Source organism: Homo sapiens, chromosome 10 (assembly GCF_000001405.40).
Source record: "Homo sapiens chromosome 10, GRCh38.p14 Primary Assembly".
Lineage (NCBI taxonomy): Eukaryota > Metazoa > Chordata > Mammalia > Primates > Hominidae > Homo > Homo sapiens.
In genome coordinates, this window is record NC_000010.11 from 37,246,855 (window position 1) to 37,266,774 (window position 19,920).

A 19,920-nucleotide genomic window follows, 5' to 3' on the forward strand; every position below is an offset into this window, starting at 1 on the left:
GCACCTCATCATCATAGCACCCCTTCCCTCAGTGATAATAAAAAATGTCTCCAGACATTGTTTAAGTTAATAAATGTGCCCAGAGCCCAGGCACAGTGGCTCAGGCCTGTGATTTTAGCTCTTTGGGAGACCGAGGTGGGTGGATCACTTGAGGCCAGGAGTTCCTAGAACGTTCCTCTGTCAAAAGACAAAATTACAACAATTTAAAATCTAATTGGCTGTTATTGGCCATTCTAGAATTGGTTGACATCTCATTCTATGAAATACAATGAGTGCTCTTCAATAAGCTGAGCAGAGGGGGGTTAGCTTTATTGGCAGAAAAGGGCTAAAGAAAACAGAAAAAGAACAAAAAGTGATTGGTTGTTTCAGAGTTACTTTCCTTAAAGAGGTAAAGCACAGAGGACCCCCTTATCATCCTGGCTCAGGTAACGGTGGTGTCACTCCACATCAGCCCTCATTTTACACGGGAAGGTAGTTGCTAATTTAACAAGATTTCATGGCCAATAAAATATTTATGATGCTTTTAGTGTTCAATGCATTTATCTTATAGTGATTTATTATAAAAATGGTATTTTATTTTCTTTTTTTGGAGGGTGTTCTGGGGCATTGTGAATCATGGAATCTCATGGTTTGTACTTGACTGGATTTTAATGGACACATAGAGAGGAACAACGTACACTGGGCTTTGCAGAGGGCAGAGGGTGGGAGGAAGAATAGTATCAGAAAAAATAACTAGGCCGGGCACAGTGGCTCACGCCTGTAATCCCAACACTTTGGGAGGCCGAGGCGGGCAGATCACAAGGTCAGGGGATCGAGACCATCCTGGCTAACGTGGTGAAACGCCGTCTCTACTAAAAATACAAAAAAAAAAAAAAAAATTAGCCGGGCGTGGTGGCGGGCGCCTGTAGTCCCAGCTACTCCGGAGGCTGAGGCAGGGGAATGGCATGAACCCGGGAGGCGGAGCTTGCAGTGAGCGGAGATCGTGCCACTGTACTCCAGCCTGGGCGACAGAGTGAGACTCCATCTCAAAAAAAAAAAAAAAAAGAAAAAATAACTAATGAATACTTAGGCTTAATACCTGGGTGATGAAATAATCTGTACAGCAAACCCCCATGACATGAATTTACCTTTGTAACAAGCCTGCTCATGTACCCCTCAACTTAAAGTAAAACTGAAAAAAAAAAAAATCATGTGGTAGAAGGGAACACTGAAGCCATGTGAATTGGAAGGGCCACTCTTAATGGCTTATTGTTCTCCCTGCAGATTTTCACCGCTATGCCTCCTTTCACTCTGGGAGTCTTCCAGAGGTCTTGCACTCGGGAGAGCATGCTCAGGTTTCCCCAGCTCTACAAAATCACCCAGAATGCCAAAGACTTCAACACAAGGGTAAATAAGGTTGATCTCAGAATTGTCACCTCAAAAAGGCCCTGCCTTCCACTGTTCAGTTCTGGTCATCTGCCTATGAGATATCTGAAGCTTGAAAGAGAACACTTGAAAATCACTGAGACCGTGACTCCCATCCCAGCACACACAGCAAGCCAAGTAGGTTACAGAGATTTCTTCTTGGGTGATGAGTTCACGCCACATGGGGTATGTTCTCCAGTTCCAGTGTGTTGACTCCTTCCTGCTTCCCCCCATCAGCCCCTGAGGTCAATGTGGGCAGCAGCCCCCATGGTCCAAGTTCAAGATCCGCTGTGGAAGACTTTTTTAGGCAATCACACAGCCCTGCATGGAGTCCTGATGAGAGCTTGCCTAATTGTTGCTAGGTTTGTCATTTTAAATACAGTGTTTCTTTAGCTAGTGAGTAAAATTGGCTATATAGGAACTCAGGGATCACGAGTCACTTTTTTTTTTTTTTAATGAAACAGAGAATCAGCAAAGAGACCACAAAAGATATAGGTAATTCTCAGAAACCCATGCAGATGCTGAGTTGGGTGTTAAAGTTGTCACACAGTTTCAAACTGCAGAGGGGTCTGTCACATAGATGCCTTTCACAGCTGGAAGTGGCAGAGCAGTTGGGTGACCCTACCCAAAGGAAAGATAGATGTGTTCCTGGCCAGTGCAGGGGTGAGATGTGAGCACAGCTGCATGGCCATGCTGCTGTCTTGGGTCTTTGTCGGAGGGGATTCAGAAGTTTAGACAGAGGTCATTGCCCAGATCAGTTCCAGTGCTACATGATGCTGGTGGTCATGACTTGCAAGGGTGGTTCCTGGGCCATCAGTGAGAATAACACAGGGAGTTCCCTCTCTAGGTCTCAGTGAGAGAACAGTCTCTGAGGCCCTGGCTTCTGAGCCGGATATTCCTGATGGGTACCCTTCACAGCTGCTTTCTTCTGGGAAGGCTTCCTAGTTATATTCAAGGCTGGGAACAAAGAGAAGAGATTCTTATTGTTTCTGTTGTCTCCCATATCTAAAGATACTTAAGTGACTAATTCTATTAGTCCTTGTTGACTGTGATTCTATTAATGGCAAAATATGACCCATTTTCATTGGATTATTTATGGCAATCCATTTTCTACAGAATTTGAATTCTAAGGCCATTTGAGGTGGGAAGTAAGTAAATAGAGCTAAGAATGCCTGGAAACCTCAGGCACTTTGAATTTTTTTTTTTTGGTAGTGAGGTCAGGGATGGTGCAAAATAAATATTTAAAGTAGAGGAAATTCCATTATGTTATAATAACATTTTTCATAATTTTATGTTGTTTTATCACTACTGAGGATCAAACTATATGATTCCCAGAACAACTTGTAAACTTTTAAATAAATTTAAGCTGGGCTTTAACAGTTCTGTCATTGCAGTGACAAAACTATTAATGAAACTAAAGTGGGGAAATTCAGGGTAGGTGTGGAAAACTGTGAGTAGATCAGGACTTAAAGGGTGGAAGATGGGGAAGTTTAGGAAGGCAGTTGAAAACTAAATTGTAAAGGCTTTGAGTGTGAGGTTAAGAAATTGGGACTTAATTGCTTAGGCATTGAAGGGTCAATATAGAATTTAAATTAAAAAATGTTTATGATCAGACCATTTTGGGGAAATGAGCCAAATGTGTCTTTTAAGGTGAGTAGTAGAAGGAAAACTACTGGCAGAGATTCCAGGGGAGAGTTTAGGGAGAATTAAACCCAGGAATGGGATGTGTTTGGAGAGGAGGGAGTGTGTTTTGAGAGGAGTGTCTTTGTTCGTCAAGATTGTGGCATATCTATGATGTAAGAGGCTCTCTGAGAGCACAGTGGATATAGATGTTAATACACCAGGCCCTGCCTCTCTTGCCCTCTGGGAGCTTGCCTAAGGTCAGAGTTGATGGTCAAAAATTGTGTACATATTGCTTATTTACCAATGTGATGAGTCCTGGGGTCTGTGGGTAGAGCTTATATAATAAAAGAACATAGTTTAGTAAGTTCAGGAGAATCTTCTCCAAGGAAGTGATATTGAAGTTCTTGAAAGATGAGTAGGGGGTGGCCATACAGGTCAGGGAGGTGTGGGGAAGGATTCAGAGAAGGAGCATTCATGGCCAGGATCAAGCAGAGGCATAGGACCTGAGTTGTTGTGGCTATGGGAAGTGTTTTATTGGGGATGGGGATGCCTGAACTTGACTCTCCTTTGCCAGACTCTGACGAGGGGTTCAGGACACTGAGCACCCCTCATCCTGGCCAGTAAATATGGTAACGTCCTACTGTGATCTGAATGTTTGTGCTCCCAGACCCCGACATTTTATATGCTGAAACCCAAAACCATAAAGTGATGGTATTAAGAGATGGGGCCTCTTGGAGGTGATCAGGTTTTGAGGGCAAACCTCTCACAAATGGGATGAGTGCCCTTATAGAAGGGACTCCAGAGAGCTTATTGCCCCCTGCGCCATGTGAGATATAGCAAGAAGACACCATCTATGAGGAACGGGCCCTTGCCAAACACCAAATCTGCCAGTTCCTTCATCTTGGACTCCTCAGCCTCCAGATCTTTAAGAAATTAATTCACATTGTTTATAAACCATGCAGTTTATAGTATTTTGTTACAGTAGATCAGAAAAACTAAGACACTTTCCTCTCACTTTCCCTATCCTGCTGGAGCTACCAATCAAAACACACCTCTACACATTTCTAGCATCCCCTATAAGGTGGACAGCCACCCCAGTCAAGATAACTACAGCATAGAGAGGAGATGGGGGCTAGAAAAGGGGACAAATAAGTGAGGGAGGACTTTATCACTAACACGTGGGTGGAGGGACTTCTCAATGAAGAGTTGGTGATAGGAGAGTCACCTGGTAAGATTTGCTTCTAAAGAAGATAGGACTGCTCTGTAGAGAAAAACATACAATCTGGCAAGAGTAGGGGCTGCTATTGAGTTGAGGGGAGTGAAAGGTGGTAGGAATAAGGATTGTGAGCTCCAGAGAACTAGGATATGACAACTGATTGGAGTACTTGTTTATAGGTGTGCTGATTTGCTGTCCTAAGTATGAGTGAGTTCTTATTACACCCTTAATTGTCATTTAGAAGAATTTATTCTCCTCCCTCCCAAAAAAGCATAGAAACATGGCACCAATTCGAAATTTGAGACAAACTGGGGTGCTGTCAAAGCCAAAGGACCCTTGTCTAACACAGGGTCACCTTCAGGCTTATTTCCTTTCACCAAGTGCTGCCTGAAGCTGTCCCTTAGATGCCTGACCACACCCTGAGCCCTACATGAGTTTTGTTTGACCAGGTACTAAAGTTGCTAAAGTGGCTTCATTTCTTCCTTTGATACTGTGTGGATCATGTCACAAAGACAGGAAATCTTACCAATTTTCTCCGCCATCCATGCAGAGAGCCTCAAGCATAAATCAGCAATGTTCACCATGGGCAAAGCAACATGATTATTTGGAAGAAATATTTTTGAGTACGTATGGGTACATTGTTCATTCACTAGAATGCTTCCAAGAATTTCACTTTGCTTATTTTCATGTGATTTTAGAGAGAATTTTCAAAGTGCTCCTTTGATGATGGAGTTTGTGATAGTTCATTTTAAGTTTCAAAGTGAATTTTTCCACTCAAGCAATTCAGTGAATCAAATTTCTTTCAACCATCACAGCCATATGCGTACTCCCATGGTTGCTCCTAGCCTTTGATCTAAAAACTGATTCGAGGTTAAAACTAGCATGTCACCTTTACAGGAACCCAAGTCCATTAAGATACCTGGTGTCAGGCCACACTGGAGTTTTCCCATCATGTGTCCTGTCAAGCATAGTCGAGCAACCCTCCTTGAAGTGTAATGTGGTTATTGGCAGGAGAATGAAAAATAAGTTTTGATTTTAAAAAGGAAGTTTTCAGATTGTTCTTCTTGAAATTTTAGAGGGAGGTGATGGAAAAGAGAACATAGTTACCATAAAAAATGGCTCCTGAAAACATTTGTTCTTGATTCCCCAGAGTCCACACCATGGAAACCGATTCCTCATCTTTTAAGAATACCATATGGATACTTATATATAGGCATGAATTAAGCAACTAGGCCTTTCAACAGTTTTGGAGAAGGCCATTTCCCACTTTTAAAATAAATAATGCTCCTATAAGATCAGGTATGTTTTATATACTAAAATAACAGTGCACATGTATAAAATAAAACTTAGTGGTACCTCCCTCTGCTCATGGCATTGTTGGGTCATATTAGCTTAAACTATTTCCGACCTATAGCTTATTACTGTTCACCATAATTCTCTCCTGGAAATTTTCTATTAGGTGTCAGTTTTTCAAATGAGTATTTCTTAGTCTAATTTTTTTTCCTCTGAAGTTATCTTTTTTAGTCTTTGGAGGCCATTATTCTATCCCAGTTCATGAATATAAACTCGTTTATAAAATTTACAGTTTTTTTTTTTTTACTAACTGTGTGACCTTGGACATATTTGACTTCTCTTTTCTGTACCTCATCTGGAATATGCACTTAATTACACTGTTTCAAATAGTTGTTAAAGTATTAAAGGCGCTAATATATGTAAGGTGCTTAAAACTGCTTGTCATATATAAGTGCTTATATAAGATGTTTTTTCAATATCTAACAATTTTGTTTATTATGTGTACATCCATAAAATATGAAACACATTGTCCTTTTAGACAAATGCCCTTTATGTTTAATTTCTTTTAGTCTAAGAATCAACCAGCATTGGAAATACTGTTATTAGAAGGAAACTCAAAAACTTGTTAAATCATAACTGCAAAATTTGATTTTCAGCTTAGTCTCCCACAACTTCTAAATTTTTCACCAATCAAAGTTTTCTGTAGGCTCTCTTAGGGCAAATGCAAGTGGAAAGCGAAGGCACACGTTTCCACCTTTGAAATAATTTCAACTTGTATCACTTCTTACCATGTCTATCATAGCCACTCTGACCCTGCATTGTCTGATAGAACTTTCTGTGAGGATAAAAATGTGCTGTATCTGTGCTGTCCAATACAATAGCCACTAGCCACATGTGGCTATTGCATATTTAAAGTGACTGAGGAACCAAATTTTTAATAATAGCTTTATTGAGATACAACATATACCATACAATTTATTTAAAGTGTACAATTGTATAGTTTTTTAAACATATTCATAGAATTGTACAACCATTACTACAATCCATTATAGAATATTTTTATCACCTCTGAAAGAAACCCTATATTCATTAACCATCACTCTCTATTTCCCCCCAGGCAGCGCTAGTCCTTAGAAACCACTGCTCTTCTTTCTGTCTCTATAGGTGTGACAATTTCTGGACATTTCATAGAGATGGAATCATACAATATGTGGCCTTTGGTATCTGGCTTCTTCATTTATTATAAGGTTTTCTTTTTCTTTTTTTTTTTTTTTTTGAGATGGAGTCTCACTTTGTCCCCCAGGCTGGAGTGCAGTAGCACATCTTGGCTCACTGCAAGCGCCACCTCCGGGCTTCACGCCATTCTCCTGCCTCAGCCTCCCAAGTAGCTGGGACCACAGGTGCCCGCCACCATGCCTGGATAATTTTTTTTTGTATTTTTAGTAGAGACAGGGTGTCACTATGTTAGCCAGGATGGTCTCGATCTCCTGACCTTGTGATCTGCCTGCCTTGGCCTCCCAAAGTGCTGGGATTACAGGCGTGAGCCACTGCGCCCAGTCTATTATAAAGGTTTTCCAGGTGCATTCATGTTGTAGCGTGTATCAGCACTTCATTAATGTTTATGACCTAATAAGTTTGTATTATATTGATACAACACATTTTGCTTGCCAATTCACTGTTGGGTTATCAACATTTGGGTTCTGAACAGGCTACTGTGAATAATGAAAAATGCTATGTATTATTTTAGGCTATTATTAATAATTATGGTAATGCTGCTATAACATTTAGGACCAAGCTTTTGTATGTTTCATTCATAAATTTCATTTCTCTTGTGTATGTACCTAGGAATGGAATTGCTAGGTCATAAGCTACCTATGTATATTCTTTTCAGCAACCACCTCACAGTTTTCCAAAGTGTGTACTATTTTACTTTCCCACTGGAAATGTATGAAAGATCTAATTTCTCTACATCCTCACCAACACTGGTTATTGTTTGTCCTTTTTTATTATAGGCACACTATTGGGTGTTAAGTGATGTCTCCTTGTGGTTTTGATTTTGTATTTTCTTGATGGCTGGTGATCTTAGGCTTTTCTTCATGCACTTATTCGACACTTATATCTTCTTTACAAAAAAGCCTATTTAAATGTTTTGTCTATTTTTATGTTTTTTTTCTTTTCACTGTTGAGTTGTAAAAGTTCTTTGTGTGTTTTAGATACATATTTCTAATCAAATATATAATTTGCAAACATTTTCTCCACTTTTCTGGTTGTCCTTTTCTTTTCTTTTCTTTTCTTTTTTTTTTTTTTTTTTGAGATGGAGTCTCACTCTGTTGCCCAGGCTGGAGTGTGGTGACTTGATCTCAGCTCACTGCAAGCTCCGCCTCCCGGGTTCACACCATTCTCCTGCCTCAGCTTCCGAGTAGCTGGGACTACAGGTGCCCGCCACCACACCCAGCTAATTTTTTGTGTTTTTAGTAGAGACGGGGCTTCACCGTGTTAGCCAGAACGGTCTTAATCTCTTGACCTCGTGATCTGCCCACCTCAGCCTCCCAAAGTTCTGGGATTACAGGTGTGAGCCACTGCGCCCGGCCCTCTCCTTTTATTTTCTTTGTTATGTCCTTTGAAGGACAAATGTTCTAATTTTGATGAAGCCCGGTTCATTTTCTTTTATCACTGTGCTTTTGGTGCCATATCTAAGAAACTCTTGTCAAACCCAAGGCCATAAAGGTTTATTGCTATTTTTTATCCTAAGAGTTTTATAGTTTTGCAACTCAGAAATATAAAATCAAATACTGCATGTTCTCATTTAAAAATGGGAAATAAATAATGTGTACACATGAACATAGAGTGTAGAATGATAAGACACTGGAGACCCAGAAGGGCAAGAGGGTGGGAAGGGGGAGGGTGATAAGAAATTGGTGAGTGTACATTGTTCCAGTGATAAACACACTAAAAGCCCAGATTTCACTCCTACCCAATATATCCATGTAACAAAATTGCACTTGTACTCTGTAAATATATACAATTAAAAAAATGGTTTTATGGTTTTGGTTCTATGATTAATGTTACAATGTTTTATTGTGGTAAAAGCATATGTAATAAGCTTTGCCATTTTAACCATTTTAAACATAAAATTCAGAGGCATTAATTACATTCAGAATGTTGTGCAATCATCACAACTATGTATTTCCAAAAATTTTTTATCACCCCAAACTGAAACTCTGTAGTCATTAAGCAATAACTCCCCATTCTCCCTTTCCTCCCGAGCTCCTGAGAGGAATAAATTTTTATGGCATTTTAATTAATTTAAATGTAAACAACTAAATGCAGCTGGTGGCCATCATATTGGACCTCACAGTTTTAACACCACCAATATCAACCCCTGGACAGATATAATCATTTCTAAGCTGCCTTTGCATTTATTATTATTCTATTTCTGGTAATCTATGATCTATTCTCCCATAAAAGCTGGACTATTCCTGTAAGAATGTATCTTATACCATTTCATTCCCAGCTCTGAATCCTCCAGTGGTTACCTATCACAATTAACAAAGAAATCCAAGCTCTTTACTATGGTCTGTGTTTATCTGCTCCTTGGACTGTGTGTATTCTCGTTTCCTCCTCCCAGTGCCTGCAGCGTGACTGGTCTTTGTGGTGATCTTTGGGCTCATCAAGCGCTGTCTGTATTCAGACTCTGCACAGTGTCTCTTCTCTCTGCCCTCTAGACATTCACTTAACTCATTCCATCATACCATTCTGACCTGCTCAAGTGTCACCTCTTCAAAAAGATTGTTCCAGAGCTCCCTATCTAAAGTAGCAGTCCCTGTCTCCCTGAATGTGATTACCCTACCTTATGTTTCTTTGTATTATTATGCTTTTTTATTTAGACAAGGTCTCACTCTGTCACCAAGGCTGGAGTGCAGTGGCACAATCATGGATCACTGCAGCCTCAAACTCTGGGGCTCAAGCAGTCCTCCTGCCTCAGCCTCTCAAGTGGCTGGGACCACAGGTGAACACCACCACACTTGGCTAATATATTTCTTCGTAGCACTTATTACACCCATCATTTTAGTGTGGAACTGTTTATGAATACATGTTCTATCTCTGTCACTATACTGCAAGCTCTATAAAGACAGACCTTCTCTCTCCAGTTCCCATAATAGTACCCAGCATAAAATAGACTGTAAGTAAACATTTATTGAGTACATAAAAGAAGAATCTTATTCATTTTAAGGCTATAATCTATGTTAGACTCAAAGAGATAGACTAATCTGTGTTAATCTATGTTAGACTCAAAGATTATTCTCCTGAATAAATGGAAGTGTTTCTTTATTGAAGCATGCCTTTTAAAAAAGTATTGCATATGGTGGATAAGCTTTTGGATGTGCTGTTGGATTCATTTTGCCAGTCTTTTATTGAGGGTTTTCACATCGATGTTCATAAGGGATATTGGCCTGAAGTTTTCTTTTTTTGTTGTGTCTCTGGCAGGCTTTGGTATGGATGATGTTGGCCTCATAAAATGAGTTGGGGAGGAGTCCTTTCTTTTCTTTTGTTTGGAATAGTTTCAAAAGGAATGGTACCAGCTCCTCTTTATACCTCTGGTAGAGATCGGCTATGAATCCATCTGGTCCTGGGCTTTTTTTTTGGTTGGTAGGCTATTAAATACTGGTTCTATTTCAGAACTTGTTATGGGTCTATTCAGGGATTCAACTTCTTCCTGGTTTCATGGCGGGAGGGTGTATGTGTCCAGGAATTTATCCATTTCTTCTATATGTTCTAGTTTATTTGCATTGAGGTATTTATAGTATTCTCTGATGGTAGTTTTTATTTCTGTGGGATCAGTGATGGTATCCCCTTTATCATTTTTTATTGCATCCATTTGATTCTTCTCTCTTTTCTTCTTTATTGGTCTAGCTAGTGGTCCATCTCTTTTGTTAATCTTTTCAAAAAAAAAAACAGCTCCTGGATTCATTGATTTTTTGAAGGGTTTTTTGTGTCTCTGTCTCCTTCAGTTCTACTCTGTTCTTTGTTGTTTCTTGTCTTCTGCTAGCTTTTGAATTTGGTTGCTCTTGCTTCTCTAGTTCTTTTAACTGTGATGTTAGGGGGTCGATTTTAGATCTTTCCAGCTTTCTGTTGTGGGAATTGAGTGCTGTAAGTTTCCCTCTTAACATTGCTTTAGCCGTGTCCCAGAGATTCTGGTACATTGTCTCTTTGTTCTCATTGGTTTCAAAAAACTTCATTATTTCTGCCTTAATTTCATTATTTACCCAGTAGTAATTCAGGAGCAGCTTGTTCAATTTCCATGTAATTTTGTGGTTTTGAGTGAGTTTCTTAATCCTGAGTTCTAATTTGTACATATACAAATTAGAGTACACCATGGAATACTATGCAGACATAAAAAAGAATGAGTTCATGTCCTTTGCAGGGACATGGATGAAACTGGAAGCCATCATTCTCAGCGGACTAACACAGGAACAGAAAACCAAACACTGCATGTTCTCCCTCATAAATGGGAGTTGAACAATGAGAACACATGGACACAGGGAGGGAAACATCACACTCTGTGGCTTGTCAGGGGTTGGAGGGGAAGGGAAGGGAGAGGATTATGACAAATACCTAATGCATGTGGGGCTTAAAAGCCAGATGACAGGTTGATAGGTGCAGCAAATCATCATGGCACATGTATACCTAGGTAACAAACCTGCATATTCTGCACATGTATCCCAGAACTTAAAGTAAAATTTTAAAAAAGGATATAAGTATCATGTACATTAAAAAGATACAAAATGCTTATGAACAGAAAGATTCTATATTGTAAATAAGTCATTTCTATTTACTAAATTATGGTTGAATGCAATCCTACTCAAAATCCTGTCAGGTAATTTGAAAATTGACAAGCTAATTTTAAATGTATTTGAAAATTTAAAAGACCAAGAAGAACCAAGAAAGTTCTGAAGAAGAACAGAGCTCAAGAATGTATACCATCAGATGTTTCAATCTTTATTACAATTACAATAAGATGGTATTAGCAGAAGGACATACAAATAAAGAAACCAGAAACAAACTCATATTTATACCATCACCTGATTTATGACAAAGGTGAAACTGCAGTGTAGTGAGGAAACAATAATCTTTTCAATAAATGTTAGTAGATCACTTGGATATCATTATGGGGGAATAAAAGAATTTGACCCCTATCTTACATCATAAACAAAGGTCAATCGTAGGTGGGTTATAAAGCTAAATGTGAAAGGTTAAAAATTAAAAAAAAAAAAAAAAAGCTTCTACAATGGCCATGAGTGGTGGCTCATGCCTGGAATCCCAGCACTTTGGGAGGCCGAGGTGGGTGGATCATGAGGTCAGGAGATTGAGACCATCCTGGCTAACAAGGTGAAACCCCTACTCTACTAAAAATACAAAAAATTAGCCAGGCATGGTGGTGGACACCTGTAGTCCCAGCTACTCGGGAGGCTGAGGCAGGAGAATTGCTTGAACTCGGGATGAGGAGGTTGCAGTGAGCCGAGATTGTGCTACTGCACCCTAGCCTGGGTGACAAAGTGAGACTCCATCTCAAAAAAAAAAAAAAAAAAAAAAACAAGCTTCTATAACATAAGAGAGTATCTTTATGACACTGGAGTTGACAAAAATTTCTTGAGCAAGACTAAATAAGCATTAACTATAAAGAAAAAGTCTGCTAAGTTGGACTACATTAAAATTAAGAACTTTGTATTAAGAAAGTCATGATTAAGAGAAAGAAAAGGGAAGTTAAAGTGGGAGAAGATATCTGCAATATTTATGTTCAATAAAAAACTTATATCCAGAATATATAAAAAACTCCTACAAATCAGTTACAGAATATATTCAAAGAGCCAATTAAGCATCAGAAAATGTCTTCATCAAAGGCATGCAACTTAAAATGACAATGGGATACTATGACACACAGACCAGTCTGGTCAAAATAAAAAATACAGATAATGCCAAGTGACAGCAAGGATATGGAACAACTAGAACTGGTGAAGGTAAAATAGCACAACCACTTGAAAAATTCTTAGGCAGCATTTAATGAAGTTAATATATAAATATTTTAAGACCCAGCAATTTCATACTTGTTATATACCCAACAGAAATGCACACAAGTGTGTACCAAAAGAATGTTCATAGCAGCATTATTTGTCATAGTCAAGAGCTGGAAGCAACCCAGTTGTGCATCAATGGTAGAATGGATGACTAAATTGTAGTGTATTCTTACAATAAAATACTATAGAGCAATGAAAATAAATAAACTATGGCTATATGCAACAACATGGATAAATCTTACCAACAATGTTAGACAAATGTAGCCAAACCAAAAAATACACATGTTCTATGAATCCATATATGCAAGGTTCACAATAGGTGATAGTAGCTACTCTTTTGGGAAGGAGTGAGGAAAGGACTGAGAGAGTATTGCAGAGGGGGCTCCGGGTGTTTGTAATTTCTATTTCCCAGTGCAGGTGTGGTTTGCATGAGCATGTTCACTTTGTGGAAATTCATTGAGCTGTAACTAAATATACAGAATTATTTATGAATGAAATGATATATAATTCAGTGGGAACCTGGGAGGATAGGGAGGAGGTGGGGGAGCTGAAGAAACATGAGTGGCCGAATGCTTAACAATTGTTATTGTTAGGTTATGGATACCCGGGGGGTGGTTGTACTATTCTTTCCTTTTGTGTATGTTTGAAATTTTCCATTATAAAAAGGACAAAAAAAAAAGAGAGAGAAAACTAAAAAAGAAAAAATAGTGTTGCGCTTGTTAGTAAAACCAATCTTAAGGCCAGTTACTAAAAAGTAAACTCCTACAATTTTGAATAGCTATTTGCTAATACAGTGATTTGCTGCCTTCTTGGGGTTAGTTTAGCCTGTCCATTCCTTATTTAACTTGCTCCCTTCCTTCCCTTTTAATAAAGTCCTGCCTAAGCTCCAGGCTCTATTTTCCACCTCTCCCCTAAGATTTAGGATTGTTCCGTTTTAAGTCAGTGGCCATATGTCTTCCTGTTCTCCTAGTGTAACTCTTACCTTACCCAGCAGCAGGCCCTCTGTTTAGGGCAGCCTATAATATTGCTTTTATGATTAATCTTCCCTTATCCACAAACTTAACTGTGGAGAAACAGGAGAAAGTGTGTGCCTAGAAGCTGGATTCAGGGACCCATGGTTACCCACTTCTACTTATGATTCCGTCATTACTGTTGTTTTAGGAAAATAAACAGATCTTGATTCTTTCATAAAAGTCGATTCTTCAACAAGCAAATGGGAAAATCGGCAGGCCCAGATATGTGTGTATAGCAGCTACTGGTTGGAAATTTGGACACAAAAGTCTTTATCTACCCAGCCTGTGAGCCACAAATCTGGACTGAGTATAAAAAAGAATAAAACTAAATACCACATGTTCTCACTTATAAGTGGGAACTAAACATTGAGTATGCATGTACATATAGATGGGAACAATAGACACTGGGGAACATGAGAAGGGAGGGAGAGAAAAAAGGGTTGAAAAACTACCAATTGTGTGCTATGCTCACTACCTGGATGATGGATTTGTTTGTACTCCAGCCTTAACATTCCACAATATCTTTTTAACAAACTTGCACTTTACCCCCAAATGTAAAATAAAAGTTGAAAAAAATATAAAAGAATAAAAGGTGGTTGGCTCTGTCATACAAAGATACTGAGGCTTATCTTAAAAATAGGCTCTGACCCCTCAGGATAAAAATCAGGCTTCTCCGTGCAGGTTTAGTTGACATGATTAGATGACTCTCCCAGAGTTGTGCCTTAGTGGTTGTCATATACATTGTTATAGACATCCTTGAAAAAACAAGACAAGACAGGAAAACTGAAGCTTTGAAATCCTTCCTGTATTTTCTAAACATCTGTCATTGGATTGCTTGCATTCCTCCAACTGATAGATTCCAGAAACTCACATAGTTGCAAATAAGAACATGAGTAGTAAATATCCCCCCAAATTATTTCAGAACTCAGCCATTATAAATTGATTTTATATTCATATAGTTATCTTTTTATTGATCTGTAATCCAAATTTAGCAAAGAATTAAAGATGAATCATAAATGAACACTTGAAAAAAGGTTCAATGTTGGCATTTTATAAAAATAGGTTAATAATTTCTTATTCCTTATCAAAAAACTGGATAAATAGAAATTTTAATCTTCATAAAAATGTAAATTCCAATGCAGATCAAGTGTTTGGTTGTTTGGTTTGTTGAAAGCTTGACTTTGTTTGCTTCATTTAGACAGACTATAAGATGCAAAACTTTAGCCCTAGAAACAAAATTAGGCATTAGAATCACGAGAATGGGATTTTGAAATGCCCCTGTGAGTTTACAGATGTTTCTAAAGTTCTGTGTTTAATATTTTGAATAAAATATGTGGCCATGCTCAGGATCTAGGAAGTTAGCAGTAGCCTCTTTCTTTTTCAGATACTGTGTTGACCAGTGGTCATGCCACTGCCTGTTGATTTGTTGAAAATATTGTTTACACGGTAAGTTTATCTCTGTTTACTGAGTCATTCTTAAGCAGCTCATGTGTGGCTTGTACTTCTCTAAACCCTTTATATAAGACCTTCCTTGTTATCATTCCTTATTTTAAATCTTCAAAATGTATTTGATAGATCCTTTAAAGGCCTGAATGGTTATGAAGTGCTTACATTATTGTTTTTGAAGGTTATACAAAGTCAGAGTTTCTTGACAGGTGATTAGCAGATTTCCCCATTCTTCAAATGACCATTTCACATCTACCTGCAAAGGAGAACAACACTCAGAAAGATGGTGTCTCCCAAATCATCCAAGCTAACAGAAAGTCTTTCTCTACTATTTATGAGAAGGTCCATCACTAGATTGAGAGCTCTTCTGGAAGTGAATCTGCCTGTATGTTCCCTAAAAACAACCCCTAGAGAGTTAGCTGCTGAGATGGCTGTATTTTCAAACTTGAGCTGCCTTGGAGAAAGCAGATCTGGAGTGGAGACATGGGATTTCTCATGGAAAGTGAAAATAACTCACTCAGAATAATGTTTTTTCAAACTCTTCTGTCTTTCCACAGTATGTTCTTGTTACTGATTGTCAGAAAGCTGGTTTTGAGACTGCAGCTTGGACTAAAGTAAGTTTTGTCTAGAATTGTTTCTCTATTCAGTATAGACATTTTCATGCTATGATTTATTTCTAAGCCTAGGGGAAACAATAAACAACATCTGGCTATCTTATTTCAAATTTGTTATGTAAAAATTGTGGATTGATCTTTATTGGAGCAAATTTGCAATCCAAATTCTCTTGGTGATTTATTTGCTTGGCACCTAATACACCTCTAAGCTAACAACAGTCATCTCATTTCAAATGTAAAGCCTCATTGTAAAAACAAAAAGCATATACATACACAAATATATAGAAAATAAAGACTAAAAAAATTTAATTTCCATAATTTTATCATCAAGAGACAGCCACTACTAATGCTTTGCTGGGGATCCTTCCAGACATTGTTCTATGTCTGTGTGTGTGTGTATTTTTAAATAAGATGATGCAGAACACAAGGCTTTGTTATTAAAAAAAATTAGACACAATTTCTATGCCTTAAAATCTAATTCAACAAAATTATTGTTTATGATTAAAGATTAAGTTTTATAGATGTTCCATCATTTATTTCAGCAGTCTCTTATTTTAGACATTTTCGTTATTTTCAGCATTTAAAGATTATATCTAAATCTTTATGTTTGTTTCTCATGAAGTGTCATGACCTGCCTGATATTTAAATGCTCTGCTAAAAAAAAAAAAAAATGAGTATGAGGTGGTAAGTCAATGTGGAATAGGTAATCTCCTAAGATAGCAGTCCCCAACTTTTTTGGCACCAGAGACTGGTTTCATGGAAGACAGTTATTCTATGGACAAGGGGACTTCCATGAGTCTCCTAGGAGCTGGTTTCAGGATGATTCAAGAACATTACGTTTATTATGCACTTTATTTCTCTTATATATTACATTGTAATGTATAAGAAAATAATTATACAACTCACCATAATACAGAATCAGTGGGAGTCCTGAGCTTGTTTTCCTGCAACTAGATAGCCCCATCTAGGGGTGATGGGAGACAGTGAGAGATCATCAGGCATTAAATTTTCAGAAGGAACACGCAACCTAGGTCCTTCGCATGCGCAGTTCTCAATAGGGTTCGTGCTCCTATGAGAATCTAATGCCACTGCTGATCTGACAGGAGGCAGAGCTTCAGGTGGGAATGCCAGTGATAGGGAATGGCTGTAAATACAGAGGTAGCTTTGCTTGCTCACCTGTTGCGCACCTCCTGCTGTGCAGCCTGGTTCCTAACAGGCCATGGTCTGGTACCAGTCCATGGCCTGTGTCGTGGGTTGGGGCCCACTGCCCTAAGAGACAGTGGCAATTAATCCAGGTTAAATGTGATGATGTCTTAATTAGCCTGGGATGTTAGAGGAGGAGGCAGTGAGAAGTGGTCAGAGCCTGGATTTATTTTATCTTTTTAAAAGCTAACAGAACTTGCATATGGATTAGATTGTGAGTTGTGGAAGAAAGAAAGAAGTCAAGGATCATCATATTAAGAGGACAAAGGAGGAAAAATGAACAACTCAGTAGATGCTTAAAGAAACATTGTTAAGAGGCAATATCCATTTCAGATTTTTTTTAAAAACAGTTTTTGCAAATTGAACAGAACAATTGAAGTCCCAAAATGATCAATAAAAACATATTATTGATTTTGTCCATTCAGCCACTCTCTCACCAGATTAATGAATCCTTGTTGTATACAGCCTTAGGTTGGAGCAAACCCTTGCCATGAACTGAGAGGGGCCTGCTGTCACTATGGGATAAATCTTAGAGAAAGGCCAGCCATGACAGCAAAAGTGTGTTCATCTTCAGAGTACTTTGGGGACACTCATTACTTGAAGTCATTGTTAAAAATTCTGAGACAAGGAAATTAGGAAGATTGACCTCCCCAGTAAGCTATGAGCCATGAGAATCTTTCCATAAGAAGAGGTAGCTAGGATGCAGGGATTCTGTAGTGGGTGGAGTTCGGGTGAATCTGCCATGCCAGCCAAGAAGCCCTGTCTGAGTGACTGTTTTCCTCTGCAGTTCAGTCATCTGGCTGTCTGGGGAAGCATGCTGACCAGTCTGGTGTTCTTTGGCATCTACTCAGCCATCTGGTCCACCATTCTCATTGCCCCAAATATGAGAGGACAGGTAAGTATGCCAGATTGGAAGTTTGCCTTCTGTGTCTTGTGATAACAATGTTTCTCCATGTGTAGGCAAGCAGGCTCTCTGTGTTTTACAACTGTATTGAGGTTTGATAGACGCTGGTGCTACCTCTTTCTGTCAGGATCTATCAGGAGGTAAACCAAATTAAAGCACCTGGAAGATGTCATCCAATCCACAGAAATGGCATTTCAAATTTAAAGTATTATAAAAAGTCAACCTAAATCCCCTTACTTACCTGGCATGTCCACATTTTCATAATAAATTATGTGTTAATTGCACATAGTACTGATATGTGCAGTTTATGGCCCTTTGGAAACTGGAGCTATTTTGAGTTGCTCATAATCCAGTGATTATACTGGTTACAGTTTTGATGTTGTACTCTGATTAGTAGTTATCCTCTGCTGAGTCATCTGTGGAAGTTAAATCTAACAGCTCTATGAACCAGCATCTCTCATTGTTCCGTCTCTTTGAACTAGAAAGACTGAGATTAAAGGTCTTTATACTCACTTGAATATCTTTTTATTTTTTTCTTTTATATTACCTTTTTCTAGTGCATGAGATTCAGCCATCAACCGTGATGAACTGGATCATGGAATCTAACAATATCAAGTTTGGATAGAAAGGAGCTTGGCAATCTTGTGGTCCATGCCTCCTCAATTTACCAAGGAAGCTGTGCAAGCTCAGGTCTCCAGGTTCATCCCAGAGACCCCACCCTGGGGTTGCCCGCAGCATTCCTGTCCTTAGACCCCAAAAACAGGCTGCTGGGCCCTGTATTTAGGGACCTCTGCACTGGCTCTTCTTCTCTGGGTGTATTTCTCTGCACAGAGTGAAAAGCTGTGATGCACACAGCCAGTCTTCCCACTTCTAATCTGTTCTCTGGGCTCCCAGGAACCCAAGCCTCTTTCTCAAACAGCCAAATGCCCACTGCCCAGGCCTGCCTGGGCCTCCTTCCAGATCAAGGCCAGTTTGCACAACCTTAGGCCCAAGGGACAGTTGTTTGCAAGGGGTGTGCACTGAGTAGATTGATGTTTGCACTGGTGTTTCCACCGACGTTTAAAGGAGGATGTTCATGCTGGGGCACAGAACCCAGGTGGAAAGGGAAGAACTGTGGGTCAGACTTTAATTGGTGTTTCCCACCCAGGAATACATATTTTAGGGGCAGGTCTGGGCATGGCACAGCTGTCTGCTATCTCTGCCTCACTTACTCTGCGGAAGTAAACAAACCCCCCTGGGTTAACCCAAGTCTAGACTGTGTCCAGCAGCTGTTTCTTGTGAGGTAGCCCTGAGTAGTGTTGCTTGTCTTTTGACCTGGTGGCTCAATTGGCTAATATCCCAAGGTGCAGAGGACCCCCACTGAGGATGCTGAGTGGGATGGACCTGTCCTGCAGGAGCGGGCGTGCTTGCCCTCTAATGCATTTTTGCTTTTTGTAAGAAAAGAGGACAAATGTCTAATGTGCTTTTCAGTTCTTTTCCAAATTCAGACAATAGAGGAAATTAGAGGGGATTCAATAAACCCAGAATATTGTTGTGTAGCAAAATGAGCATTTCCAACAAAGAAACTTTGTGTGTTTAAAGAAAGCAATTCTATTTTAAAGCAGCATGATTGAGCCCCACAAAACAAAGTGTCAGCTACAAGACAACAATCTTTTGGTAAGGTATTGGGGCTTACGATATCTGTTTTGTGCCCTCTTCCTTCTGGTTCAGAGTTGATCTGCTATGATAAATATTTTATTTGGGGAGTTTTTTGGTACTGGACAATAAACAGGGCCACAGCTGATTGCCAGAGACAATTTTCTAAATTAGAGGACAATGACAGCTGACAGGATGGGTCACTTGGTTTGTGACTGGCAAACTAAGCCCATTTGTCTAGGTTCCTAGGTTGGTGAATGCTCAGAAGTGAAGGGTATTCTAGGAAAAAACTGCTTTTTATAGGCCCGGCACGCTTCCGCTGCACAACTCTGCTATCGAAAAGATTTTTTTTTTTTTTTTTTTTTTTTTTTTAGACACAGTCTTCCTCTGTTGCCCAGGCTAGAGTGCAGTGGCAAGATCTCGGCTCACTGAAACCTCCACCTTCTAGGTTCTAAGCGATTCTCCTGCCTCAGCTTCTGGAGTAGCTGGGATT

General features: G+C 39.2%; 1 protein-coding gene and 1 pseudogene across 1 annotated transcript in view; both read left to right on the forward strand.

The window, feature by feature from the left end:
• Positions 1-19,040, forward strand: part of ANKRD30A (ankyrin repeat domain 30A) — a 140,297-nt gene extending 121,257 nt beyond the window's left edge. Inside the window, exons 49-55 of the transcript XR_007062015.1 lie at positions 1,264-1,542; positions 1,642-1,766; positions 5,394-5,542; positions 15,010-15,071; positions 15,629-15,685; positions 17,676-17,783; positions 18,350-19,040. The gene's annotated coding sequence lies outside the window, so the exon portion shown is untranslated. The remainder of the gene's footprint in view (positions 1-1,263; positions 1,543-1,641; positions 1,767-5,393; positions 5,543-15,009; positions 15,072-15,628; positions 15,686-17,675; positions 17,784-18,349) is intronic.
• Positions 1,264-17,783, forward strand: ATP8A2P1 (ATPase phospholipid transporting 8A2 pseudogene 1; annotated as a pseudogene).
• Positions 19,041-19,920: the final 880 nt, after the last annotated feature.